Source organism: Homo sapiens, chromosome 22 (assembly GCF_000001405.40).
Source record: "Homo sapiens chromosome 22, GRCh38.p14 Primary Assembly".
Classification (NCBI taxonomy): Eukaryota; Metazoa; Chordata; class Mammalia; order Primates; family Hominidae; genus Homo; species Homo sapiens.
Genome location: NC_000022.11, coordinates 44558613 through 44583369, shown reverse-complemented (window position 1 = coordinate 44583369; position 24757 = coordinate 44558613). Strand labels below are relative to the sequence as shown.

Sequence of the window (24757 nt, the reverse complement as noted above, 5' to 3'; positions counted from 1 at the left end):
TCCCTCCCTGCTTCCTTGAGCATCAGGGCGGAGGAGGAAATGGCGCCATCTCTTCTGGCTCTGACTCAGCCCCGATCAGTGGCTCAGCTCAGCAAGTGCTCACCGAGGCCACTTGGCTGGGTGCTGCAGACACAGCCAAGCCAGACATGGTCCCTGTACTTGACAAGGGGCTCATCCAGTGGGAAAAGCAAGCAGTGGACACGATACCACAGTGGGTGGGTAAGAGGTGTGCAGGTGGCCAGCAGTGGGGGTCCACCTTGGGGTGGGAATGTGGCTTTTTAGCTGAGTCTTAAGTGATGCTTTAGGTTTGGACAGTGAGCGGGTAGCAGCGGAAGGGAAGTCCAGTCAGGAAGCAGGAGGAGAGGCATCAAAGAGCAGGAGGTGGAAAGGAGTTGGATTTGAGAGGGGCGGAGGGTGCATAGGAACAGGAAGGTGTCCACACCAGCCTCCCGAGAGCTGCGATGGGAGGCTTGAACCAGAGATGGTGGCTTTGAATGACCTAGTCCAATCCCCTTCCTTACCTCCCGGTAATGTACAGACTGGAAAACAAAACTTTCAAATTCCCAGGTTCCCTTACAGCCAGACACGTGCAACCGTGTGACTGAGCTCTGGCCAGTGAAAGGTGGGTGGAACTCCTTGGAGAGAGCTTCTGTCTTCTAATAAAATGACAAAGCCTTCCAAGGAGATGGTTTGTAACTTTCAGCCTTTAGCTTTTCTCTTCTTTCTGCCTGGAATGTGGGTGTGATGCTTGGATGCCCAGCAGCTATCTTCTGACCATGAAGACAGAGATGCTCTTGAGGGTGGTGGAGCAGGAAGCTAGAAGAAATCGGGTCTACATGAGTTTCCCGAGCACCTCACCAGCCCTGGGCTGTCTACTCCTGAGCAGCCACATGGTATGACTGAGCATACAGGGGCTGGTGGAGGTCAGAGAAGTCCCTGCCCCACTCTGGGAGCAGGAAGGCTTTTGGGAGCAGCCTGTGCCTGAAGTCTATTTAGGGTTCATCCAGACTCCAAGCCTCCAGCTAATGTCGGTCGCCACTTTCTCCTAGGACCTGGGTTTGCTAACTGGGGTATCCTCAGGGCCTGGCCTGGGGAAGGTGCCAAATACCTTTTCGCTGCAAGAGGGAAGGATGGCAGTGGCACCAGCGGGATGAGGAGCTTGGGAGCTAGAGCGGGAAGGGGAGGAGGTGGTGGGGAAGGCTGGGTTTCAGGAGGAACACCGTAGGTCTGCTGGATCAACGGGTGGGGCGTTGGGGTCTGGGCTGGAGAGGGACATTGGGATTTGTGAGCAGAGAGTGGGCAGGAGAAACGGTGAGAAAAGGAAAGGTTGCTGCGGGATGCCCACATGGAGTCTCAGGAGGAGGCTGGAGAGACGGCAGAGATGCTGCTGGCAGCAGGAGGGGACTGAGCGCTGTCCCCCCAGGAGGGCCTTTGCTGGGCGAGACTCTGGAAATATCCTGGGGCTGTAGTCACAAAGGAGGACACACGTAGGCCTTAAAACAATGAATGTTTAGAACTTCCAGTACTATGTTGAATAGGAGTGGTGAGAGAGGGCATCCTTGTCTTGTGCCAGTTTTCAAAGGGAATGCTTCCAGGTTTTGCCCATTCAGTATAATATTGGCTATGGTTTTGTCATAAATAGCTCTTATTATTTGGAGATATGTTCCATCAATACCTAGATTATTGAGAGTTTTTAGCATGAAGAGGTATTGAACTTTATCGAAGGCCTCTTCTGCATCTATTGAGATAATCATGTGGTTTTTGTCATTGCTTCTGTTTATGTGATATATCATGTTTATTGATTTGTGTAGGGAAAGAAGGAGAGCATTAAGACAAATATCTAATGCATGCGGGGCTTAAAACCTAAATGACAGGTTGATAGTCGCATCAAACCACCATGGCACGTGTATACCCATGTAACAAACCTGCACGTTCAGCACGTGTATCCCAGAACTTAAAGTAAAAAAAACACAAAAAACAAAAAACAAAATGAGTGTTTATTCTCTCGCTCTGCTGGAGGCCAGACATCCAAAGCCAAGGTGTTGGGAGCGCAGCGCTCACTCCAAAGGCTAGAGGGGAGGAGCCTCTCTGCCTCTTCCGCCTCTGCTGACTCCAGGCGGTCCTCGGCTGGGACACATCACTCCCATCTCTCCTCTATTCACACGGCCGCCTTTTTCGTGTGTCTGCGTCTTTTTTCCTCTTCTTATAAGGACACCAGTCATTGGACTTAGAGCCCATCCTAAATGCAGAATGCTCTAGAGATCTCGAATCCCATCTGCAAAGACCTTATTTCCAAATAGGGTCACACTCTGAGCTTCTGGGTGGACACGAACCTTTGGGGTAGGCCGTTCAACCCACACAGGGACTCTGTGTCAGGCGTGGGCCCCAAGGGTTGCCGCCCCCAATCCTGCCAGTGGAAGGTAATGGCAGCTGGGCTCCGAACCTCCTCACCCTGGCCACTGGCTTTCTGGGTTCAGCCCCTGCCAGGAGCCACCACGCACTGACGTCTGTGCCGACTGCAGCTCTGTTCCACTGTTTCCCATAATTAAGCTCCCAGGCTGGAGAAAATCTCCCCTGCTCTCCCGGAGAAATGTGGACAATGCTGATAATGAGTTCTGCCATCCGAAATTACTTGTTCTGAGCGTTAGAAGTAATTTTCTGTCTGGGAATAATTAACTCAAAGACCTGGGTGAAGCAAGCTAAAAACGGGGGAAGTGGGTGGTTGAAAAGACTGTTTGAAGAGGACCTTGAACAAAGCCTTCTGCACTGGGAAGGCACGGCTGGGCCATGCAGAGGCTCAAGGGACCCAATTACCCCCCGGGGTCTCTTCCCTCTACCACCTGCCCCATAGCTCCATGGACTCTGATGGCTTCCAAGGGCTTCTGCTCTCCAGTGCCTTCGGGAGGAAGAGAGGTGCTCAGGGTGACCTGGGGATCGGGACTGAATGATGTGGGTTCAAATCCTGACTCCGGCATGCCTGGCCCCAGCCTCAGCTTCCTCTCCTGTAAAAAAAGATAATGGGACAGGCCACTGGGGCGGTTGGGTACGGGGGTCACATGGAACAATGTATGTGATGTGTGAGCCAGGGCCCAGCACAGAGTAGGTACTTAGGAAAAGTGGCAGAAGTGTGGGCTGAATAAAGAGAGGAGTTAAGACGAATGGGAAAAGGTACAAGGTCTGGATTCGATTCGATTCCAACTACTTGCTGAGCAAGCCACAAGACCTGGGGCAAGCCATGTGATATTCTTGGGCAAATATAAAATGAAAAATAATACGAACAGGGTGGCGGAGAGGTGAGACGAGACGTAAAATTATCTCACAAACTGTGAAGTGCGGTCTGTCTGTGTTTTACAAATAACAATAGGAAAATCCCAGTGTCCACATCCTTCCTGCTAGGCTGCCCTTTCTTGTTACCCTGGTGGTTCTCAAAGTGGGATTCCTGAGCTAGCCTGCATCAGCTGGAAATTTGCTAGAAATGCACATTTTAGGGCCTCACCACAGACCCGATGAATTCAGGGTGGGGTGGGCAATCTGTGTCTTGGCAAGTCCTCTAGGGGATTCTGATGTGTGCCAAAGTTTGGGACCCACTTTTATCATGTGGGTCCCCCTTTTCCAGTTCAGAGACCCCCAAACACATTTGACTTCTCACCTTAACCCTCTTCTGAGCCTCCAGGGCTTCCTGGAGGAGGTGGGACAGGAACCTTGTTCTGCAGGGTGATGTGGCTGAGGTTGCCAGATGTCCCTCCAGGACCCACTCTCCCATTCTTCAGGGGTCAAACAGGCCTGGAGCTTTTGATAGGCACACGGCTTTGGGAACAAAGCATTGCCTTTGCCAGCCCTCCTTACAGACAGATGTGGCCTCAGAATGAAGTTTTGGCTAAGAAGATAAGCAGACTTGATGCTTAAGGGGAACTGGCTCCCCTTGGGGAGTGGCCCTTGTTAACTGTCTGCTTTTCCTCTTCCTTCCAATCTGCAAGGAGAATGTGATGGCTGGAGCTCCAGCAGCCGTCCTGGATCATGAGACGACTTTGAGGACGGAAGCCTTGTGTTGAGAATGGTGATGCAGACATAGCAATGCCAGCATTCTGGATAAAGGACCAGCCATCACTCCACTTCTGAAAGGCCCACCTCTGAGTTTTTAAGGATGGGGAATGAGCTTCTATTTCATTTAAGCTTCTCTTATTTCAGGTTTTTGTGTTATGTAGCTAGACCAATTCTGACTGGTGAAGTAGGGAGAGAGAGCTTCCCATGGGCAGTGAGGTGCCCTTGGAGGATGCCAGGTGGCTGGGGGCTGTAGTTCAGAGGAGAGATTGGAGGGAGCAACTAGAGTCCAATGAGGGGCTCTGCAGTGCCCAGGCCCAAGGTCATGGGGTCTTAGCTGGACATGATTGTGTGAGCATCTTCTCCTGCCTCCGAGCCAAAATTGTCCAGCATGCACTGTGGTGAAGACTACAAATGAGATTGGGCAGGGATTTGTCAGGGGATCGCACAGCCCTGTTGACATCATAAGCCGTTAGGCGGTACCTTCAGGTAAAGGAAAGGGGAGGCGCTCTTGTTATCAATTTCCCAGAGGGACGGAGACCAGCTGAGTATCAGGGAGATGAGGAAGGGACAGAGAGAGCCCAGGAGGCCACAGGAAACCTCCCAGGAATCCCCAGGCTGGATGCCCCAGGGAGTGTTAGGGATGACTCCAGGCTTCAGGGCGGGGAGTTATGCCCTCGAGGAAGGATTCGCTTCTTCATTTCTTCCTTGATTCGGGCCCCACACCTGAAGAACAAAGCCTTCTCTGCTGCCCCTTGCAAGCAGGTGGCTGGATGAAAACATCAGCTCATGTCTCCTCTGCTCCCTAAGGTTTGACCCAGGGCTTAGGAAGAGCTGGCCCAGGACAATTACTTAGAAATGCTGAGACCTGGAGAATCCAGGGCCCAGGGTGTTTCCTCTCACTCCTCATTCTACAGATGAAGAAACTGAGGACTAGAGGGGGACAGCAACTTGCCCAAAGTGCCTGCAAAGCTGTAGAGGTGCTAGGACAGCACCTGCTCCCAGCTCCCTGTTCAATGCTCCTGGTGTGCCGCAGGCTGTGACCTGGCCTTCCTGGAGCCTGTCTGTACATGCAGGGGCAGGTGACACCTGAGACCTACAGAGGGGTCTCTGCTGGGAGCCGGGACCCAGGAGGGAGGGGCACTGAGTGGGGGGGAGGGGCATGTGCCCGAACCCACCATACACAGGGACTCTGAAGATTTTGTAACTCCTGTGGAGCCCCAGCGTCACTACCCAAAGCTGGGAAGGGAAGGCGTAGATGCCAGCGAGAGTGGGGAGCCAGGCGCAGCGGTTTCTGCGGAGCTTCAGACTTGCACTTCAGGCCCCAATCAAGTTCATGCTCCGAGCACTGCGCATCAGCAGTGGGCGGGGAGAAGAGCCAGGAATGGGGGGAGCCCAGCTGTAAAGTCCCCACGGGGAATGGTGCATGCTGGCTGGTGGGCGCCGTGGCTTGCGGTTCCAGCTCCTTCTGGTCTAGGCCGTGCCAGCCACTAGTTCCCTCTGCCAAGCTCAGCCTTGGTCTATGGCATAGTAGCCCCGACTGGGGATTTTGAGGGTTTGAAGGGATGGGGACAGGGGCCAGCATGAGAGAAAGGCTTCTTCAGAACAAGGAGAGCATCTCAGGACATGAGACACATGGGTAGCGACGGAGGTGCAGGGAGAGTGGGGGCCGGAGCTCCACGCCATACCAGGGAGGCAGACAGAAGGGCCGGGTTTGAATGTGCCGCGACCTTGGGGTGAGGTGGCCCTGACCACAGTTAACGCTAATGGGCAGGGGCTGGAGGACTAGAGGGCGTTCCAGTCCTGGGACCTGAGTCAGGGAGTGCAGAGGCCATTCTGCGTGAACTCAGCTAATGCAGGCAGCCCACTCCTGCCCTGCTGGCATCCTCCTGTGACGGGGAGCTCACCTCCACACAGGCAGTAAGCCCCTCATGGGGTCCCTCAGTCCCTACTGAGCTGAAGTCTGCCCCTGTGTAGCATGCCTCTGGGATCTTACCTTCAACCGGCCTGGAGTTATTCCCAGGACCCAGCAGAGGAAATGGACGCGCCTGCTACTGTTTAGTTATTTGCTGGTCTCCCCAAGGGTTCTGTGTGCTAATGACAATGGCCTCCACTTTCCAAGGGCTCTGGGACAAGTGCAGGGCTGGGCACCTCCCCTGTCTGAGGTTGTCAATTCCTTACAACAAATCCAAGAGTCCGAGATTTCCTCGCCCTTCCGTAGATGAGATCGTGGAAGCACAGAGGTGGGAAGGGACTTGCTCAGGGTCACACGGCTGGTCCATGGAAGCAGGATCCCAGGCTAGGTTGGGCTGCTCCACCCTCTGTGCCGTGGTGTGATCCGGTGCCCATTTTCCCCACCTCTATGAGGACCAGGCTCCCTCTGAGATCGCCTGTTCGGTCCCCACATGCTCTGCAGGGAAAGTGGTCTCAGTTCTGGACAACCTCACTGAGTGGTTCTGGCCCATTTTCTGTCTTCAGGCTGGTGCCTCAGGGTTTCTAGGGCCTAGACTGCACCCCCAGTGAGAGAGGATCCCCCCAGCTTTGCACTCCTTTCTAGCAGACCACAGCTGGGCCACACGGGCACCTGGCTGCCCCACAGCTCCCTCAGTCTCCATCCCAGCTGGCTGCCCACACGCTTCTGCTCAGGGCTTGGCAAAATGGCCCTGCTCATCCAAAGCAGGCATCCTGCTGAGCCTCAGATGCCTGCAAGGCCAGTGAGGAGCTGTTCCTCCCACACACCTGGCCACACAGGACCCTGACTGCACAGGCCAGTGCCATCACAGCCTCCCCTTTCCCAGGGCTGGGGACCGACTCTCTCCTCTCTGCTCCAGCCACGGTGGCTTCCTGGCGTCCATCCAGTGCACCAAGCTCACTTCTGCCTCAGGGCCTTGGCACCTGCTGTCCCCTCTGCCTGTGATGCCATTGATCCAGTTACTCTTGTGCCCACTCCTTCTAATTTGGGCATCTTCCCAAATGCCACTTCCTTGTAGGGCTTTCCCTGGCCACCCCATCTCCCGTGGCCTCTCAGCACTTCACATCTCTCCTGACCGTTATCCTGTTCTAATCTCTTCTTAGCACATGGCAACACGTGCAGGTGCAGTACTTAATTTTCTTCTCTGCCTCCTCCTCTTCCTCCTCCTTCCTCTTCCTTCCGCCTCCTTCTCTTTCTCCTCCTTCTTTCTCTTACTCCTCCTCCTTCCTCTTCCTCCTCCCTCCTCCTCTACCTCCTCCCTCCTCCTCTTCCTCCTCCTCCTCTTCCTCCCTTTCCTCCTCTTCCTCCTCCCTCCTCCTCTTTTTCCCCCTCCTCCTCTTCCTCCTTCCTTCTTCCTCCCTCCTCCTCCTCTTTCTCCCCTTCTCCTCCTTCTCTTCCTCCCCTTCTTTCTCCTCCTCCTCTTCTTCCCTCTCCTCCCTCTTTTCTTCCTCTTCTTCCTCTTTCTCCTCCTCCCTTCTTGTTCCTCTTCCTCCCTCCTCCTCCTCTTTCTCCCTTTCTCCTCCCTCTCTTCCTCTCCTTCTTTCTCCTCTTTCTCCTCCCCCTCCTCCTCTTCTTTCCCCTTCCTCCTTCCCTTCTTCCTCTTCCTCCTTTCCCTCTTCCTCTTCCTCCTTTCCCTCCTCTGCTTCTCTCTTCTTCCTCCTCCTCCCTTCTTTCTTCTTCTCCTCCTCCTCTTCCTTCTCCCATCCCCCTTCTCCTTGTCATCCTCCTCCTCCTCTGTGTCCCAGCAGCACATTGGCTCCAGGAGAAGTTGCTCTTGTCTGCTCTGCCTGCTGCTGGGTGCTGGGCACCTAGAATCGTGCCTGCTCACAGTAAGTGCTGGGCGAGCGTTTACTGACTGAGCAGTTACATGTGCCTGGGGGTCTCGTGAGATGGAGGAAGAACAGATCTTGGTGCCAGACTCTATAAAACCGTGTGGCCTGGATGACTCACAGGGCCTCCCTGAACCCCAGCATCTATTTCTGTAAAATTGGGGAAAGGACACCAACCTGCCTCAAAGATTCCACTCCAGGTGGGACCTAGGTGGGAGGTGCCCAGCCCACAGGATGCAGGGCAGCTTACAACGCACCCTGGCTTCTCAGCCAGAGCCTCCCAGGCTCCCCACCTTAGCCTCCCACACACCACTCAGGCATCCACAACACATTTAATTTGATTTAGGGAGGGAAATCTCTATTTTTTCGGTGGTGTTAGCATTGACGGTCTATTTCCTGCTTGGGACTCAGTGCCGAGTTGGCATTAATGTAGAAAAATTAGTATTATCAGGGCTGCTTTCAGAGCCATCGCTCACACTGCAGCCCGTGACACGTTAATTAAACTTGATAAATGCTCTTGTCTAAAGATAACTTTTGAACAAAGGATCCAGTCACCTTATTAGCTGGCTACATGCTCTGGTAAATTGCCTGGGAGGCTTTTGGAACTCCCTAGGGCCTGTGGCTGGGGACCGCAGGGCTCTGTCTTGGGGAGAGGGCTTCTCGGCTCTCCCAGTTCTGGGGATGGGCAGTCGCGCTATGGCGGGGGCACCCTACACGTCCCAGGGGCTGGGGAGGGCACTGTGGACCTGGAGGGCAGGATGGGTGTCTCAACCCAGCTCCCACCGTGGGCTCCGTCCTCTTCCGATTTGCAGTTCCCTTCACAAGCCCCTTCCGGCTCAGCAGCCTGCCCTATCACCATAACAATCCCATCCCACATGAACCATCCATCAGGAAGCCCACCAATATGACGGCTGCCCCCGCTGTGGCGTGGTCCTTGGGGCCCATCCTGCAGTGGTGTCATCTTCATGCCATTCAGCTACCGGTCCTCCTCTCCCTCCTTCTCTTTCTCCTCCTTCATCCTCCTCCTCTTCTTCCTCCCCACCCCCAGTGATCTCGGCTCACTGCAACCTCTGCCTCCCAGGTTCAAGGGATTCTCCTGCCTTAGCTTCTCAAGTAGCTGGGGTTACAGGCTTGTACCAGCATGCATGGCTAATTTTTTTGTATTTTTAGTAGAGGCGGGATTTTGCCATGTTGGCCAGGGTGGCCTTGAACTCCTGACCTTGGGTGATCCACCCGCTTTGGCCTCCCAAAGTGCTGGGATTACGGGCATGAGTCACCTCACCCGGTTGGCAGAGTCAGTTTCTAAGGAGAGGGAAGGAGGGGCACTGGGCAGGCTCTTGGCAATCTCTGCCAGGAAGGCTTTCCCAGCTCTGAGTAATTCTCTTTGTAGCACGTCTCAATTGCAATTTTATATTTGCTTTTTTCTTGACTTATTTGATGACTGTGGGCTTCACAAGGGCAGGGGTTTCTGTATTTTCTATGTTCCCCAGCAAACAGTAGGTGTGTAATAAAAATTTGTTGAGTGAATGAATGAATGAATAACTTTTCTCTGTATCCCTAGGTAAGCTCCTCTCCTTCTCTGGGCCTCAGTTTCCCCATCTATAAATCAGCCCATCTTTAAGCCTTCTCCTGCTTCTCAACCTCATGATGCTGCCCTCACCCAGCGCTCCAAAGATCAGATAGGGTAAGGTGGAGGGAACATTTATTAGGCACCAACTGTGTGCCAGGCCCTGTGCAGGGCAATGGGAGCTTGAAGATGGATCTGACAATGTTCTGGCATTCCAGAGACAGGGTAAGCAGTTCCACAGTGTGGCCTGTGGTGGACACGGAGAAGCCCCTGGGTGGTGGAAGCCAAGAGGAGGCACCTGACCCTGGATGGAGGGTCAAGGAAGGCTGCAGGGGCCTGAGTGATGGGTGCAGAAATAATAGGAGGCAGGCCGGGCCTGGTGGCTCACGCCTATCATCCCAGCACTTTGGGAGACTGAGGTGAGTAGATCACCTGAGGTCAGGAGTTCAAGACCAGCCTGGCCAACATGGTGAAACCCCGTGTCTACTAAAAATACAAAAACTAGCCAGGTGTGGTGGCGGGCGCCTGTAATCCCAGCTACTCAGGAGGCTGAGGCAGGAGACTCACTTGAACCCAGGAGGCGGAGGTTGCAGTGAGCTGAGATGGCACCACTGCACTCCAGCCTTGGTGACAGAGCAAGACTCCACCTCAAAAAAAAAAAAAAAAAAAAAAAAGAGAAAGAAATAATAAGAGGCAAAAATTCCAGGCCAAGGGAGCTGCCTGTGCAAAGGTCCATGGTCAGGAGAGAGCATAGGTCCCATTCTGTTGGTGTTGCCCTGAGGCAGGGGATAAAAGGGGACATTGAGGCCCAAGAGGCAAGCCCAGGATGAATCAGAGAGGCCCAGAGGGCAGTGGGGAGCTGTGGGTGAGCTTAAAGCAGGGAAGTGGCATGATCAGAATTGTGCTTCAGCATGAGCAAGCTGACTCTTCTGAGAAGGCCGGCCCAGAGGGCCAGAGGCTGAAGGCTGGGACGCGGTGCAGAGATGGCACCTGGACTCACCAAGGCAGCCTCCACTGGTGACTGGATGTGGGAGACCTCTGCACTTGTTCATAAGGTGTTTTCATGACCCTTCATTCACTTAATCCTCCAGATTATAGCCCTGGGGACAGGCATTGGCGCTAGGTCACACTGATGGCCCCACTCTCCCACCTTCTTTGGAGCTGCCCGTTTCACCGGGGCTGGGTTGGCCTGCCCACCTCTCACTCTGGGCTTGGCCCTGTGATCCATGTTGGTCAACAGGACAAAGCGGAAGTGGCTGTGGCCCACCTTGAGCTGAGTCTCGGGGGGCTGTGTACCCTCTGCTTGCTCTCCTGCACCTCTGCCATTGCCACGAGGACACACCCAGCTCAGCCTGGGAGGGTGAGGAGCACTCAGGCTCATTGCCAGCAGCTAGCCGCCCACCAGACACGTGGGTGAGCCCCGCCAAGACCAGAAGAATCGCGCCACAGAGCCCAGCTGAAACTGCTGAACTGTGAGTCAAATAAACACTTATTTGAAGCTTCCAAGTTTTGGGTAGTTTGTGACACAGCTTTATTGTGGCACTAAATACAGTTTTCTGTCCTTATTTTAAAGACTGTGTCTTTTGAGTTTTCACGGCCAGGGACCCTGCTCTGAGGTCCGTGTGATTTGCCTGCACTGTGCGACCTCCCAGCGCCGATCTCGGAGGCCTCGGCTCCCGGGGGATAGGAAGGCGGTTTTGCCTGGCCCTGGGCTGCGGCAGTGCTGGAGCCTCACCTGTATCAGTGTGGCCGCTCCACTCTGCTGGCTGTTCACTCATCGCCACTGCTGTGGTTCCAGCCGGGAGCAACAGCATCATTATCTTCAAGATGCAGCAGCAGGAGTCTTCATCTGATTCTGAGCCTCACGTCTCAGAGCAGAACTGACTCCCGCTGGGAGGTGGGGCTGCATCCTCTTTGTGAAGCTGAAAATGAAGAGGAAATTGTCATCGGGGGTTACGAAGAACGCGGTGGCATTTGCGACAGATGGCAACGCAGCTAAGTTTCCAATCATCGGGCTTGAAGCCGTTCTTTATTTGTAACTTTGCCTTTTCAGTGCAGATAAGTTCGGGCCTCGTTATTTCTCTCTAGGCTTATGGCGGAAAGCTAGGCATGGTGCTGCTGGCCATGGGGCAGGGTCCGAGCACCCTCCTTTAGCTGGCCTGTCCAGCCTCGCCTCTGATGCTGTCTCTGCTGTGCTATGGTGTAAGGAAGAAGCCAGAAGGCAGGCGATGTGGGTTCCAGCCCTAGTTCTGCCTGTTACTGGCTGTGTGGCTGTGGGCATGTTATGGTCCTCTCTGGCCTTGAGGTTGTCATTTGCCACCCTCTACACCAGCTGCCACTGGGGCATGGGGGAGGAGACAGAAGATGTTGGTGGGAGGCAGACCATGAGGCTCAAAAACATCAAGGGCACAGAGAGGTCAGTGGGGGCTGAACACATTAGCCAGGACTCCCAGCAGCAGGAAACTCACCAGTCCAGCCTGCTCTGCTGACAGGACGTCCCTCCAGATGTCCAGAGGAAGTTCCAGAGGAAGTCTGCCAGCTTCATCTCCCGAGCCTCCATTTCCTCATCCGTAAAGTGGGTAGGGCTGTGGCAAAAGTTCCATGGCATGAGGTGCGAAGAGTGCTCACCTAGGCCGGCACATCATGGGCTCTCTGGGGACATGGACCATTTTCTCCTCCTCCCGAGGCAGGCCAAGCTCCAGGAAGCAGAAGACCTTCCAATGTGGGAGGAGAGGGTACTCAAGGGGTAGCCCAGTAGGGCTGAAGGTCTTCCCCGGTGCCCTGTGCAAACATGGGGGCAGGTGGGTGGTGCATGGCAGACCTGGTGTTCCTGGACATGGAGGCAGCCCATGGCCACAGCTGTGCTGAGACTCAGGCCACTCAGTTCATCCCTCTGCATCCCTCTCCCCCTCCTCCCTAAAGCCCTGCAAACCTGCCTTCGTGGCCCTTTTCTTCCCTGATGAGGCTTTGGAATGAGCTGCTTTTTTTAGCCTCTCCAATCAGGCCGGCATCGTGCTTGGCTATTGTTAGCATCTCAGCTCGACGCCTCCTTCAGAAAGTGATGAGATCATCCTCCCAGAGGTCCACGGTCACCTTTCCACAAGGCTCAGCAACGTGCAGACCTCTCCTCCCATCCCCTACCCTGGTCCCAGGACAGGGACAGTGACAGCACTGAGAAGAGGAGTCAGGGACTGAACTAGGAGCAGGAAGGGAACTGGGAGTGAATGATCAAGGAGAATCTACTGTGGGCTCCGGACAGCGTCCTCTCTGCCCGCCAGCAACCCTTCCTTGCCTCTGGGGCCAGCACTTTGTTTTTCCCTCAAGGAGCCAGCTCACCTTCTGTGTCATGCTGTACTGACCCCCACGCCTTACCAGCCCATCATGCACGGTGTTCCCCTCTGGTTCAGTGATTGGATCCCAAGCAGGATGTGTAACCATCCATTCTCCTCTTTAAACAGAACCTGTTTTGTTGGAGTGAAAGTTTGCCCCCTTAAAAATAGGTGTTACCAGGTTCCCTTGCAGCTAGGAGTGGCCATGGACATAAGAGGAAGTCTGCCAGTTTAATTTCCCATAAAAGGGGATGGTCTCAGGGGCACACACCCTTCTTCCTGCCTGGAATGTGGATCTGATGCCCAGAGCAGGAGCAGCCACATTGCAACCATGAGGATAAAAGGTGCAAAGACTGGACTTTCTGACAAAGATGGTGGCACAGATGCACACATGTACATTTGCCTCTTCTTGAACCCTCACTAAAATGATGGTAAAGATCACTTTACGGACATTACCCTCAAGCAGAAAGAGAAAAGGGGAGGAGGCCCAAGCACCAACATTTTGGAGACTGGAAACCTGGTGGATGAGCCGTAACCCACTAGGTGAGCTTGAGAAGCTGAAACATGGCCGGCCAGCAGCATGCAAAGATGAGAAGCAACAATGGGCTGGGAGGATGGAGATGCCAGATATTTCTGGAGGGGAGTGAAGGAGGATTGTTTCAAACAACAGCAGTTAGTCTTCCTCTCACGGGAGGGACAGAGACAGAGACAGCTATCCACTCCCACTGCTTACACAACTGGGAGATTGCCCCTCCCTGAGCCTGGCAGAAACCCCAAGATTTATTATCAAGAAAGGGTCTGGCAGAGGCCTCTGGACTGGGGGATGCCACTCCAAAAGCAGGGCATGTACTGAGTATTGGAGACCCCCGCCTCTTTCTCCTTGCAGCCCCCGGAAAACCGGCAGCCAGGCCTCACGTGCAGCAGGGGGGAGCTGGGGGATCATTTTGGTTGGGGTCAGTTCCACTGACCTTCCTAGTGGAAATCCTCACACTCTGACCCCCAGTGACCCCCCGGGGAAGCAATCCGCCAGATCACCTGCAGTGGAGACCGCAGTCAGAAAACGCTACCCAAGGGCTCAGCACTTCCAATCAGCTTCTTTGTTTTTTAAATGAAGTAGACATTTAAATGACGTTTATATTCAGTGAAGTGCACAGATCTTAGCACAGTTTGATGAATTTTGGCAAACTTACTCCCATGTCACACGCCTCCCTCAAGGTAGAGGACATTTCTGCCAGCTGGAAAATCTCTCACCAGGTCACCCTCCCATCTGATCCCCGTCTCCATCGCCTGTCCTCCCCATCCCCTGCAGGCCGTGCTGTTCCGATTTCTATCAGCATAGAGGAGCCCTGTCTGTTCTAGAAGTTCATATAGATGACATCACACAGCACATACTCTTCTATATCAGGCTTTGTCACCTAGTAGAATGTTTTTGAGAGTCATCCATGTATTGCAGGCCTCAGGGGTTTGCTCCTTTCTGTGGTTAAATGATCTTCCATGGTTTAGAATGGAATATTTATCCACTCTCCTCTTGACGGACATTTGAGTTCTTAATAGTTCTTGGCTATCACAAATAAAAGTGCTATGAACATTCTTGTACAAGTTTTTATGTGGACATGTGCTTGCTTTTTTTTTTAATTGAATAAATAACTAGACATAGAATTGTTTGGTCACAGCAATTTTGTTTAACTTTACGGGAAATTGCCATATTGATTTTTAAAGCAATTGTACCATTTCACATTCTTACCAACAATGTATGCATTCTAGTTGCTCCGTATCTTTGTCAACACTTGTTAGGGTCTTTAAATTTTAGCCATTCTGGTGGATATGTAGTGGTATCTTGCTGTGACTAAAATGTGTACTCCCCTCCCCCAATGACTAATGGTGTTGAAGATGATTTTTATGTACTTATTTGCCATTTATGTATCTTTTTTGGTGAAGTGTTTGTTTAAATCTTTGTCCCATTTTTGGGAACTTTTAATTTTTTTTTTTTTTTCCAGACAGAGTTTTGCTCTTGTCACCCAGGCTGGAGTGCAATGGCGTGATCTTTGCTCACTGCAACCCCCACCTCCCAGGTTCAAGTGATTCTTCTGCCTCAGCCTCCTGAATAGCTGGGATTACAAGCATGCACCACCACGCCCAGCTAGATTTTTGTATTTTTAGTACAGAGGGGATTTCACTATGTTGGCCAGGCTGGTCTAGAACTCCTGACCTCAGGTGATCCGCCCTCCTCAGGCTCCCAAAGTGCTGGGATTACAGGCGTGAGCCACCCCGCCCAGCCGGATTTTTAAAATTATTGAGTTGTAAGAGTTCTTTTATTTTTTTTAACCTCTGAACTTTTTATTGGCCTCCTGCTCTCTAAAGGGTACCCTGCTTCTGCTGCCTTAATGTCTCAGAACTTTGGTGTCGTTGGTCTCAGACACCACTTTGCCATCCACTCTCTGGTGGGTGGTGGTCTTTGGAATGGTTTGCATGGAGTTGCTGCTGTCCAGGGCATCTCCAAGATTGAAGTCCTTGCCATCTTCCAGCAGGTGGCAGTAGGTGGCGATCTCAGCCTCCAGCTTGACCTTGATGTTCAGCAGGGCCTCATACTCCTGGGCCTGGCACTGTCCCTTTGCCTGGGTCTGTGCCAGCTCTGACCCCAGGTGCAGCAGGATCCCGTTGAGCTGCTCCATCTGCAAGGTGTAGCAGGCCTTCACCTCCCTCACGCTGTTCTCCAAACTGGCTTTCAGATTTCTCATGGAGTTCAGGTTGATCTCCAAGGACTGGACTGTACATCTCAGCTCTGTGAGCGTCATCTCAGCAGCTCCAGCCTTGGCAGACTGCGTGGTGACCACTGTGGTGCTCTCCTCAATCTGCTGAGACAAGTACTTGTCCAGCTCCTCTCCGTTCTTCCAAGCCAGCTCGTCATATTGGGCCCGGATGGCTGCCATGATCTTGGCGAGGTGCTGAGATTTGGGGATCTACCTCCATGGTCAACCCAGAGCTAGCAATCTGGGCTTGTAGGCCTTTTACTTCCTCTTCGTGGTTCTTCTTCATGAAGAGCAGCTCCTCCTTGAGAGCCTTGATCTCTGTCTCCAGCTGCAGCCGAGTGACGTTGGTGTCATCATTGACCTTACAGAGTCCATGGATGTTGCTCTCCACAGACTGGCACATGGCCAGCTCTGTCTCATACTTGACTCTAAAGTCATCAGCAGCAAGATGGGTGTTGTTGATCTGCAGAACAATGCAGGCATTGTCTACAGTAATTGCCAAGCTCTGAGCCCTCTGGTTCCTGATGGTCTTGAAGTAATGGCTCCAGTCTCTGACCTGGGGTCCCTTCTTCTCCAGGTGCTCCCAGATTTTGCTCTCCAGCTTCCGGTTCTTGGTCTCCAGGTGCCTCACTCTGTCCGGGTAGGAGGCCAGCAGTCGTTCAGGCTTTGCATGGTCTCCTCGTTCTGGATGCCTCCCATTCCTGCCAGACCCCAGTCATCCCCGCGGCCAGGCCTCCGGACTCCATGCTGCCCCGGAAGCTCGTGGAGCAGGACACGGAGATCCTGGAACCAGAGTTCCCAGTGCCTGCATAGACGCTGGCCACACTGCTGACCGGCCGGTGCCGTAGCTGGGCGCCTGGGCAGGGCCCAGGGATCGGTAGTTGGTGGAGAATGTGGAGCAAGTGGTGAAGCTCAAGCTGTCCGGGGAGGAGGGAGAGAGGACAGGGCTTGGGTTTTGCCCACCAAGAGTTCTTTACATAATTCTAGATACAAGCCCTTTGTCGGATGCATATTTTGTATATATTTCCTTCTAGTGTGTGACTTTCCTTTTCATTTTTGGAACAGTGTGTTTTAAAGGACAAACACTTATAAGTTTGATGCAGTTCAATATATCCAATTTTTCTTTTAATAATTAGTGGTTTTTGTAAGATATTTTGCCAAACTTGAAGTCACAAAGATTTTCTTCTATATCTTCTTGAAAAAGTTTTATGTCTTTAGCTTTTACACTTAGGTCTAGGATGCATTTCAAGTGACTTTTTGTATATAATGTGAAGTTTCAAGGTTCATTTTTAAAAAACATACGGCTGTGAAATCATTTCAGCACTTTTTGTTGAAAAAAGTTTATTTAAACATTTGTTGAAAATCAATTGACTATATATGTGTAGGTCTATTTCTACAGTCTGTTTTCTCTTCTATTGATCTCTATGTCCATCTTTATGCAAATTCCACAGTCTTGATTACTGTAGCTTTATAAGAAGTCTTGAAACCAAGTGTGTAAATCCTCCAACTTTGTTCTTCTTTTTCAAAACGGCTCTGGTTATTCTGAGTTGTTTGCATTTTCAAATTTTAGAATCGGCTTGTCAAATTCTACCAGAAAAGCCTGCTGGGATTTTAATTGGGATTGTGTTACATCTATAGATGAATTTGGGGAGAATTGACATCCTAGCAATTACATTAGTTTGGGTTTTCTCAGGATTCTTCTGTTTCCAGAGAAACAGAACCGATAGTATATCTCTCTATCTGTATATATCTAGTTAGATGGATATGAGAGAGGATTTATTGTAGGGATTGGCTCACGTAATCATGAAGGCCAAGAAGTCCCATGATGTGCAGCCTGCAACTTGGAGATGCAAGAGTGCAGGTGCTGTCATTTAGTCTGAAGGCCTGAGTACTGGGTAGGGGCAAAAGAATGCTGGTGTCTGTTCCAGTGTCTGATGGCCCAAGAACTAGGAGCTCTAGTGTCCAGGGGTAGAAGAAGATGGATGTTCCAACTCAAGGAGAGAGAGAGAGAGAGAGACAGAGAGAGAGAGAGAGAGAGAGAGAGAGAGAGAAATAAAGAGAAAGAGAGAGATAAGAGAATTCATCCTTCCTCTGCATTTTTGCCCACCCACATTTATAAGGGTGGATGTCTTTACTCTGTCTACTGATTTAAATTCTAATATCTTTCAGAAACACCCTCCCAGATACACCCAGAAATCATGTTTTACCAGCTACCTGGGCATCCCTTGGCCCAGTCAAGTTGACATGTAATAGTAACCATCACAACAATGCCGAGTCTCTCACTCCGTGAACACATTGTATCACCCTATTTATTTAGGTCTTTAATTTCTCTTGCCAATGTTCCATAGTTTCCAGTGAACAGTTCTTGTTTATATCCAAATAGTTCATGTTATGCTATGTTAAATGGTTATTTTCTAAAATTGCAATTTCTGATGGTTCATTGCTGGTATATAGAAATCAATTAATTTTTATATATAGATTTTGTATCCTGAAACCTTGCCAAACTCACTTATTAGTTCTTGTGGGTTTTTGTAGATTTGTTTAGATTTTCTATAGAAACAGTCATGTTGCCTATGAATAAAGAGAGTTTTAGTACATCCTTTCCGACCTGGATGCCTTTATTTCATTTTTTGTGCCCCAACACACTGGTAAGCACCTCCAATACAATGTTAAGTACAAGTGGTAAGAATAGGCATACTTGCCTCATTTTTGATTTGGGGAGGAAGGAGGAAGCATTTAGCTTTTCATCATTGACTATGATATTAACCGTGGGTTTTCCTTAGATGCCGCTTTTCAGGTTGAGAAAGTAATCTTCTATTTCTAGTTTGCTGAGTTTAAAAAAGCAGAATCAGGAATGGATGTTGGATTTGGTCAAATGTCTTTTCTGTATCTATTGAGAGGATTTTATTGTTCTTTGAAAATATTTTTAACTAATTAATTAATTGATAAATAATAGCTGTGCATATTTTCAAGGTACACGTGATAATTTGATATATTTACATAATCAAATCAGGGTAATTGCAATTGCAATGGATGGATATTTATCTTTACACTAGGAACATTCACATTACTCCCTTCTAGCTATTTTGAAACGTATAATCAATTAATATTAACTATAATCATCCTACTCATCTGTTGGACACCACGTCTTATTTCTTCTATCTAATGTTTTCCTTATTTAGTCTTTTAAGATGGTGAATTACATTGACTGATTTTCAGATGTTAAACCAAGCTTGCCCTCCTTGGGTAAGCCCCATGCTAACAAGGTACATTATTATTTCTATCTATCTGTCTGTCTCTGTGTATGTGTGTGTGTGTGTGAATTTAAATTTGATATGCTAAAATTTGTTTAAGAACTTTTGTGAGAGATGTTGGCCTGTAGTTTTTTTTTTCTTGTAATATTTTTGACTAGTTTTAATATCAGGATATTGCTGGCCTTACAGAATGAATTGAGGTGTGTTCCAGCATTTTCAGTTTTATGAAAGAGTTTGTATAGGACTGGCATTATTTCTTCTTTATATGTTTGGTAGAATTCACAAGCAAAGCCATTTGGACCTGGAGTTTTCTTTGTTGGAAGTTTTTTTTTTTTTTTTTTTAATTACAGATTAAATTTCTTTACTAGGTGTAAAGTTATTTAGGTTGTCTATTTCTTCTTGAGTGAGATTCGGTAGTGCAAACATTTTCAAGGAATTTGTCAAGTTCATGTAAGTTGTGTGACATATTGGCATCACATTGTTCATATTAGCCTTTTAATGTCTATAGGGTCTGTAGTGGTATCTCCTCTTTCATTCATGATGCTGAAAACTTGTGTCTGCTCTCTTTTGGTCATGATTAGTCTGGCTACAGGTGTATTAATTTTAACAACTTACTTAAAAGAACAAACATTTGTTTCTATTTATTTTCTTTGTTGTTCTCCTGTTTTCCATTTCATTAATTTCTGCTTTTCATCATTCCCCTTTTTCTGACTACTTAGCTCTCCTTTGTCGGATTTCTTAAGGTGCAAGTTTAAGTCAATCTGAAAACTTTATTCTTTTTTAATAGAAGCATTTATTAATAAAAAAATTTCCCTCTATGCACTGCATTGGCTGTATCCCACATATTTTGGTATGTGAAGTTTTCATTTTCATTTAGTTAAAAATGATCATTTCACTTGTGATTTATTCTTTAAACAGTGAATTATTTAGAAATGTATTTTTTAGTTTCAAAATATTTAGGCATTTTTCAGGCATCTCTCCATTATTGATTTCTAACTTAGCCCAATTGTGGTCAGAGAACATACTTTGTATGATTTAAACCCATTCCAACTTTTTGAGACTGGTTTTAGGGCCCAGGAAATCGTCTATCTTGGTAAACGTTTTGTGCACTTGAAAATAGTGTGCTTTCTGCTATTGTGGGGTGGAGTGCTTTATATGTTGATTAGGTTATGTGGTTGATAATGTACAAATCTTTTATATACTACTGATTTTCTATCTCATCATTATATTATTAAACAGGGGTATTGAAATCTCCAGTTATAACTGTAGATATGTCTATTTCTTCTTTCAGTTCTGTTCTGTCAGTTTTGCTGTATGCATTTTGAATTTCTGTTAACAAGTGCATAAACTTTTAGCATTATTCGTCTCTTGATGCAGGGACCCTTTCATCATTCAATGACCTTCTGTATTATTGGTAATATTATTTTCTCTAAACTCTACCTTTCCAATATTAATATCCACACTTTGACTTTTTTTGAGGTTAATCTTAAGATGGCATATCTTTTTCCATCTTTATTTATTTATTTTTTATTTTTTGAGATGGAGTTTCACTCTTGTCACCCAGGCTGGAGTGCATTGGTGCGATGTCAACTCACTGCAACCTCTGCCTCCTGGGTTCAAGCAATTCTCCTGTCTCAGCCTCCTGAGTAGCTGGGATTACAGGCATGCACCACCATGGCTAATTTTTTGTAGTTTTAGTAGAGACAGGGTTTCACCATGTTGGCCAGGCTGGTCTTAAATTCCCGACCTCAGGTGATTTGCCCACCTCGGCCCCCCAAAGCGCTGGGATTACAGGCATGAGCCAGCACGCCCAGCCTTTTTCCACCTTTTTACTTTTAACCTATATGTATCTTTATGTTTAATGTTGACTTTCTGTAATCAGTGTATAAGAGTCTTAGCTTAAAAAAAAAAAAAAAATCTTAGCCGGGCATGGTGGCTCATGTCTGTAATCCTAGCACTTTGGGAGGCCAAGGCGGGCAGATCACCTGAGATCAGGAGTTTGAGACCAGCCTGGGCGACATGGTGAAACCCCGTCTCTATTAAAATACAAAAAATTAGCTGAGCTTGGTGATGGACTTCTGTAACCCTAGCTACTCAGGCGGCTGAGGCAGGAGAATTGCTTGAACCTGGGAGGCGGAGGTTGCAGTGAGCCAAGATTGCACCACTGCACTCCAGCCTGGCAACAGAGCGAGACTCCGTCTCAAAAAAAAAAAAAAAAAAAAAAAAAAGGAACCTGACATCAGTCTCACAATCTTTACCTTTAAATTAGAGTGTCTGGACTGCTTACCTTAAAGGTGATATAGTTACAACTGAATTTAAATCTTTTACTTTGCTTTCTCCCCCTCTATTTGTCTCATCTATTCTTTGCTTCTCTTTCCTTCTTTTGCCTTAATTGGATATTTTTATAATTCTACTTTATTTCCTCCATGGGCGTATTAGCTACCCCCCATCCTGTGTTTTAAAAGTAGTTGCTCTAGTATTTATTGTAGACATCTTTAACTCGTCACAGTTAACATTCGAGGACTCTTGCGCCCCTTCACTTGGAGTGTGAAGCTCCCACGACAGTGCCCTTCCCTTTACATCTCTCTGCTTTTCCACTAGTACCGCCATGATTTTACTTCTACATTTATTATAAATCTCACAATACATTGTTGTTATTTTTGCCTGAAACAGAAATAATCTTTTAAAGGGCATAAACAATTTTAAAAATGTCTTTTACATTTACTGACATGATTACCATTTTTGTTTTGTTTTGTTTCTGAGACAGGGTCTCACTGTCGCCCAGGCTGGAGTGCAATGGTGTGACCTTGGCTCACTGCAACCTCAACCTCCCCAGGCTCAAGTGATCCTACTACCTCAGCCTCCTGAGTAGCTGGGACTACAGATACATGCCACCACACCCAGTTAATTTGTGTAGTTTTTTTTGTAAAGACAGGGTCTTCCTATGTTGCCCAGGCTGGTCTCAAACTCCTAGGCTCAAGTGATCCTCCCGCCGTGGCCTCCCAAAGTGCTGGATTACAGGTGTGAGCCACCGTGCCCGGCCTGATCACCATTTTTGATGCTCTTTGTTCCTACATGTTTATTCAGGTTTCTGCTTAGTATGTGCATCATTTTCCTTCTGCCCAAAGGAGGTCTTTTAGAATTTCTTGTAGTGCTGCTCTGCTTGGGATCAAATCTCTCTGCTTCTTACGTTAAATTAAATCTTTACCTTGTCTTCATTAAAAATATATTATCTCTATATAGAATTCAAACTTGACAGTTAATTCTCCGTCAGTACTTCAAAGTGATGATGTCACCCATCTTCTGACCTCTATTGTTTCTTCTAAAAAGCTTTCTGTAAACTTTGTCTTTGTTCTTCTGTGTGTGATGTGTCTTTTTTTGCTCTCTTGCTGCTTTTAATGCTTTCCTTTAACATCTGTTTCCAGAAATTTGATGATGAGGCACCTTGGTGTGGTTTTCTTCATGTTTCTTATGCTTTAGTTCATTGAGATGTTTGGACCTATGGATTGATAGTTTTCATTAAATTTGAAAAAATATAACCACTATTTTTCCAGACTTTTTTTTGGGTGTCCATCCCTCTTCCCCATTGCTTTTCTTTTCTGAGATTCCAGTGACATGCATATAGGTCATTTGATGCTTTGTTCATTATATTTCCCTTTTTTTCCTGCGTTTTTTTGATAGCTTCTTAGTCTTATGTATCCATATTCACCTAACTTTTCTTCTGTGTTGTCTAATTTGTTGTGTGTTTTTCATCTCTTAAAATCCGACTTGGGTCTTTTAAAAAACTCTTTCAGTCTGTTCTTATCAGGTGCACATTTGCCTCATTTTCTTGAACAAATAGAGTCTATTTCTTAGAGTTGTTTTAGTATCTTCGTCTAATAATTCTATCATCGATGTCATTTCTGGGTCTGTTTCTACTGACTGATTTTTCCCCATATTATGACCTGTCTTTTTTACCTCTTTGCATAGATGGTGATTTTTGATTAGGTACAAGAAATTGTGAGCTCTGGTTGTTGGGTGTGGTTTAATTAATTAATTTTGCCTGTATTCCTTTAAATATTTTTTACAAAATTTTCTGGGCATTAAATCAGTTACTTGGAAACAGTTGGATCCTTCTGAGGCTTGATTTTAAGCTTTGTTCCAGTGTTTCTTTTTCTAATCTGAGGTCACTTCCTCACACGCATGTGCTGATCAGTACTCAGCTAAAGAATGGAGGGTAACCCCTCAGGGTTATAGATGTAGGTATAGTCAGTTGTTTGGGTACCATTTGTTAAAAAGTTTTTTCTTTTCCTTAACTTGCTTTAGCACCTAAGGTAAAAAGAAATCAATTGACCGTATAAACATGAGTTTCCTTCTGGCCTCTATTCTGTTCTAGTGCTTTTATTTGTCTATGTTTATGCCATTATTGTACTGTCTTCACTATCATAACTTTATAGCAAGTCTTGAAATTATGTCGTAAAAGTCCTCCAAACTTATTTTTCTTTTTGAACTTTTTTTTTTGGCTATTCAATGTTTTCCAATTTCTGCATACGTTTTGGAATCAACTGTGATGCTTGTAAGATTCCAGAGGCCCTCACAGAAGCTAAGCAGATGTTGAAGCCGTGGTTGTACAGTCTGCAGAACCATGAGCCAATTAATTATCTTTTCTTTATGAATTATTCAGTCTCATGTATTTCTTTATAGCAATGCATGAGTGGTCTAACACAGAAACTGTACTGAGGAGTGGGTCTCAGGTGAGACTTTAGACCAGATGTGGGGCTTTTGAGTTAATGGTGGAATAAGTTAAGATTTCAGGGGACTATTGGGAAGGTATGATTGTATTTTGCAATGTGAGAAGGACATGAGATTTGGGGGCGCCAGGGGCAGAATGATGTAGTTTGGATATTTGTCCCCACTCAAATCTCACGTTGATTACCTTCAATGTTGCAGGTGGGGCCTGATGGGAGGTGATTGGATCATGGGGGTGGATCCCTTATGGCTTGGTGCTGTTCTCCGCGTAGTGAGTGCGTACTCATGAGACCTGCTTGTTTAAAAGTGTGTGTCGCGGCCTGGCGTGGTGGCTCACGCCTGTAATCCCAGCACTTTGGGAGGCCGAGGCGGGTGAATCACGAGGTCAAGAGTTCGAGATCAGCTTGGCCAATATGGTGAAACCCTGTCTCTACTAAAAAAAAAATACAAAAATTAGCTGGGCATGGTGGCACGTGCCCGTAGTCCCAGCTACTCGGGAGGCTGGGGCAGAAGAATCGCTTGGACCCATGAGGCGGAGGTTGCAGTGAGCAAAGATCGTGCCACTGCACTCCAGCCTGGGCAACAGAGTGAGACTCCATCTCCAAAAAAAAAAAATTAAAAAAAAAAAAAAAAAGGAAAAGTGTGCGTTGCTGCTCCCCCATCTCCTTTGCTCTGCTCTTGCCATGTGAGGTGCCTGCCTCTCCTTCACCTTCTGCTATGACTGCAAAGTTCCAGAGGTCCTTGACGGAAGCCAAGCAGATGTTGGTGCCATGCAGAATTGTGAGCCAATTCAACTTCTTTTCTTTATTTTTAAAAAAGAATCAACTTTTAACTTTAAAAATGACTGCTAGGGCTGGGCGCGGTGGCTGACACCTGTAATCTCAGCACTTTGGGAGGCCGAGGTGGGTGGATCACTTGAGGTCAGGAGTTCAAGACCAGCCTGAGCAATATGGTGAAACCCCGTCTCTACCAAAAATACAAAAAAATTAGCTGGGCGTGGTGGTGCGTGCCTGTAGTCCCAGTGACTCACAAGGCTGAGGCAGGAGGATTGCTTAAGCCCGGGAGACAGAGGTTGCAGTGAGCTGAGACTGTGCCACTGCCCTCCAGCTTGGGTGACAGAGTGAGACTGTCTGAAACAAAACAAAACAAAAAAAACAAATCAAAACAAAAAAAATGACTACTGAGATTAAATTATTTAAAAAACATTATCATTGAGCTATAATTGACATATAATAGATGACACACATTTAAAGTACACAGTTTAGTAAGTTATGAAGCGTGTGTTCA

General features: G+C 48.1%; 1 long non-coding RNA gene and 1 pseudogene across 3 annotated transcripts, besides 1 other annotated feature; both read right to left on the bottom strand.

The window, feature by feature from the left end:
* Positions 8618–9157: an enhancer, noted in NCBI's record as "H3K4me1 hESC enhancer chr22:44970093-44970632 (GRCh37/hg19 assembly coordinates)". NCBI's record gives its function as "activates a minimal SCP1, AML or CMV promoter by ChIP-STARR-seq in primed H9 embryonic stem cells {active_cell/tissue: H9 hESC(primed)}" and the evidence as "EXISTENCE:reporter gene assay evidence [ECO:0000049][PMID:30033119]".
* On the bottom strand, positions 10921–14030 carry LINC00207 (long intergenic non-protein coding RNA 207). 3 transcript variants are annotated; one of them, NR_028409.1, is made up of 5 exons: positions 13929–14030; positions 13707–13773; positions 12782–12870; positions 11878–11994; positions 10921–11331 (listed from the first exon to the last, which is right to left on the bottom strand). It is a non-coding gene; the product is annotated as a long intergenic non-protein coding RNA 207 (long non-coding RNA). The 3 variants fall into 3 exon arrangements; NR_028410.1 differs by lacking the exon at positions 13707–13773 and having other exon boundaries at positions 12746–12870; NR_028411.1 differs by lacking the exon at positions 13707–13773.
* On the bottom strand, positions 15065–16447 carry KRT18P23 (keratin 18 pseudogene 23; annotated as a pseudogene).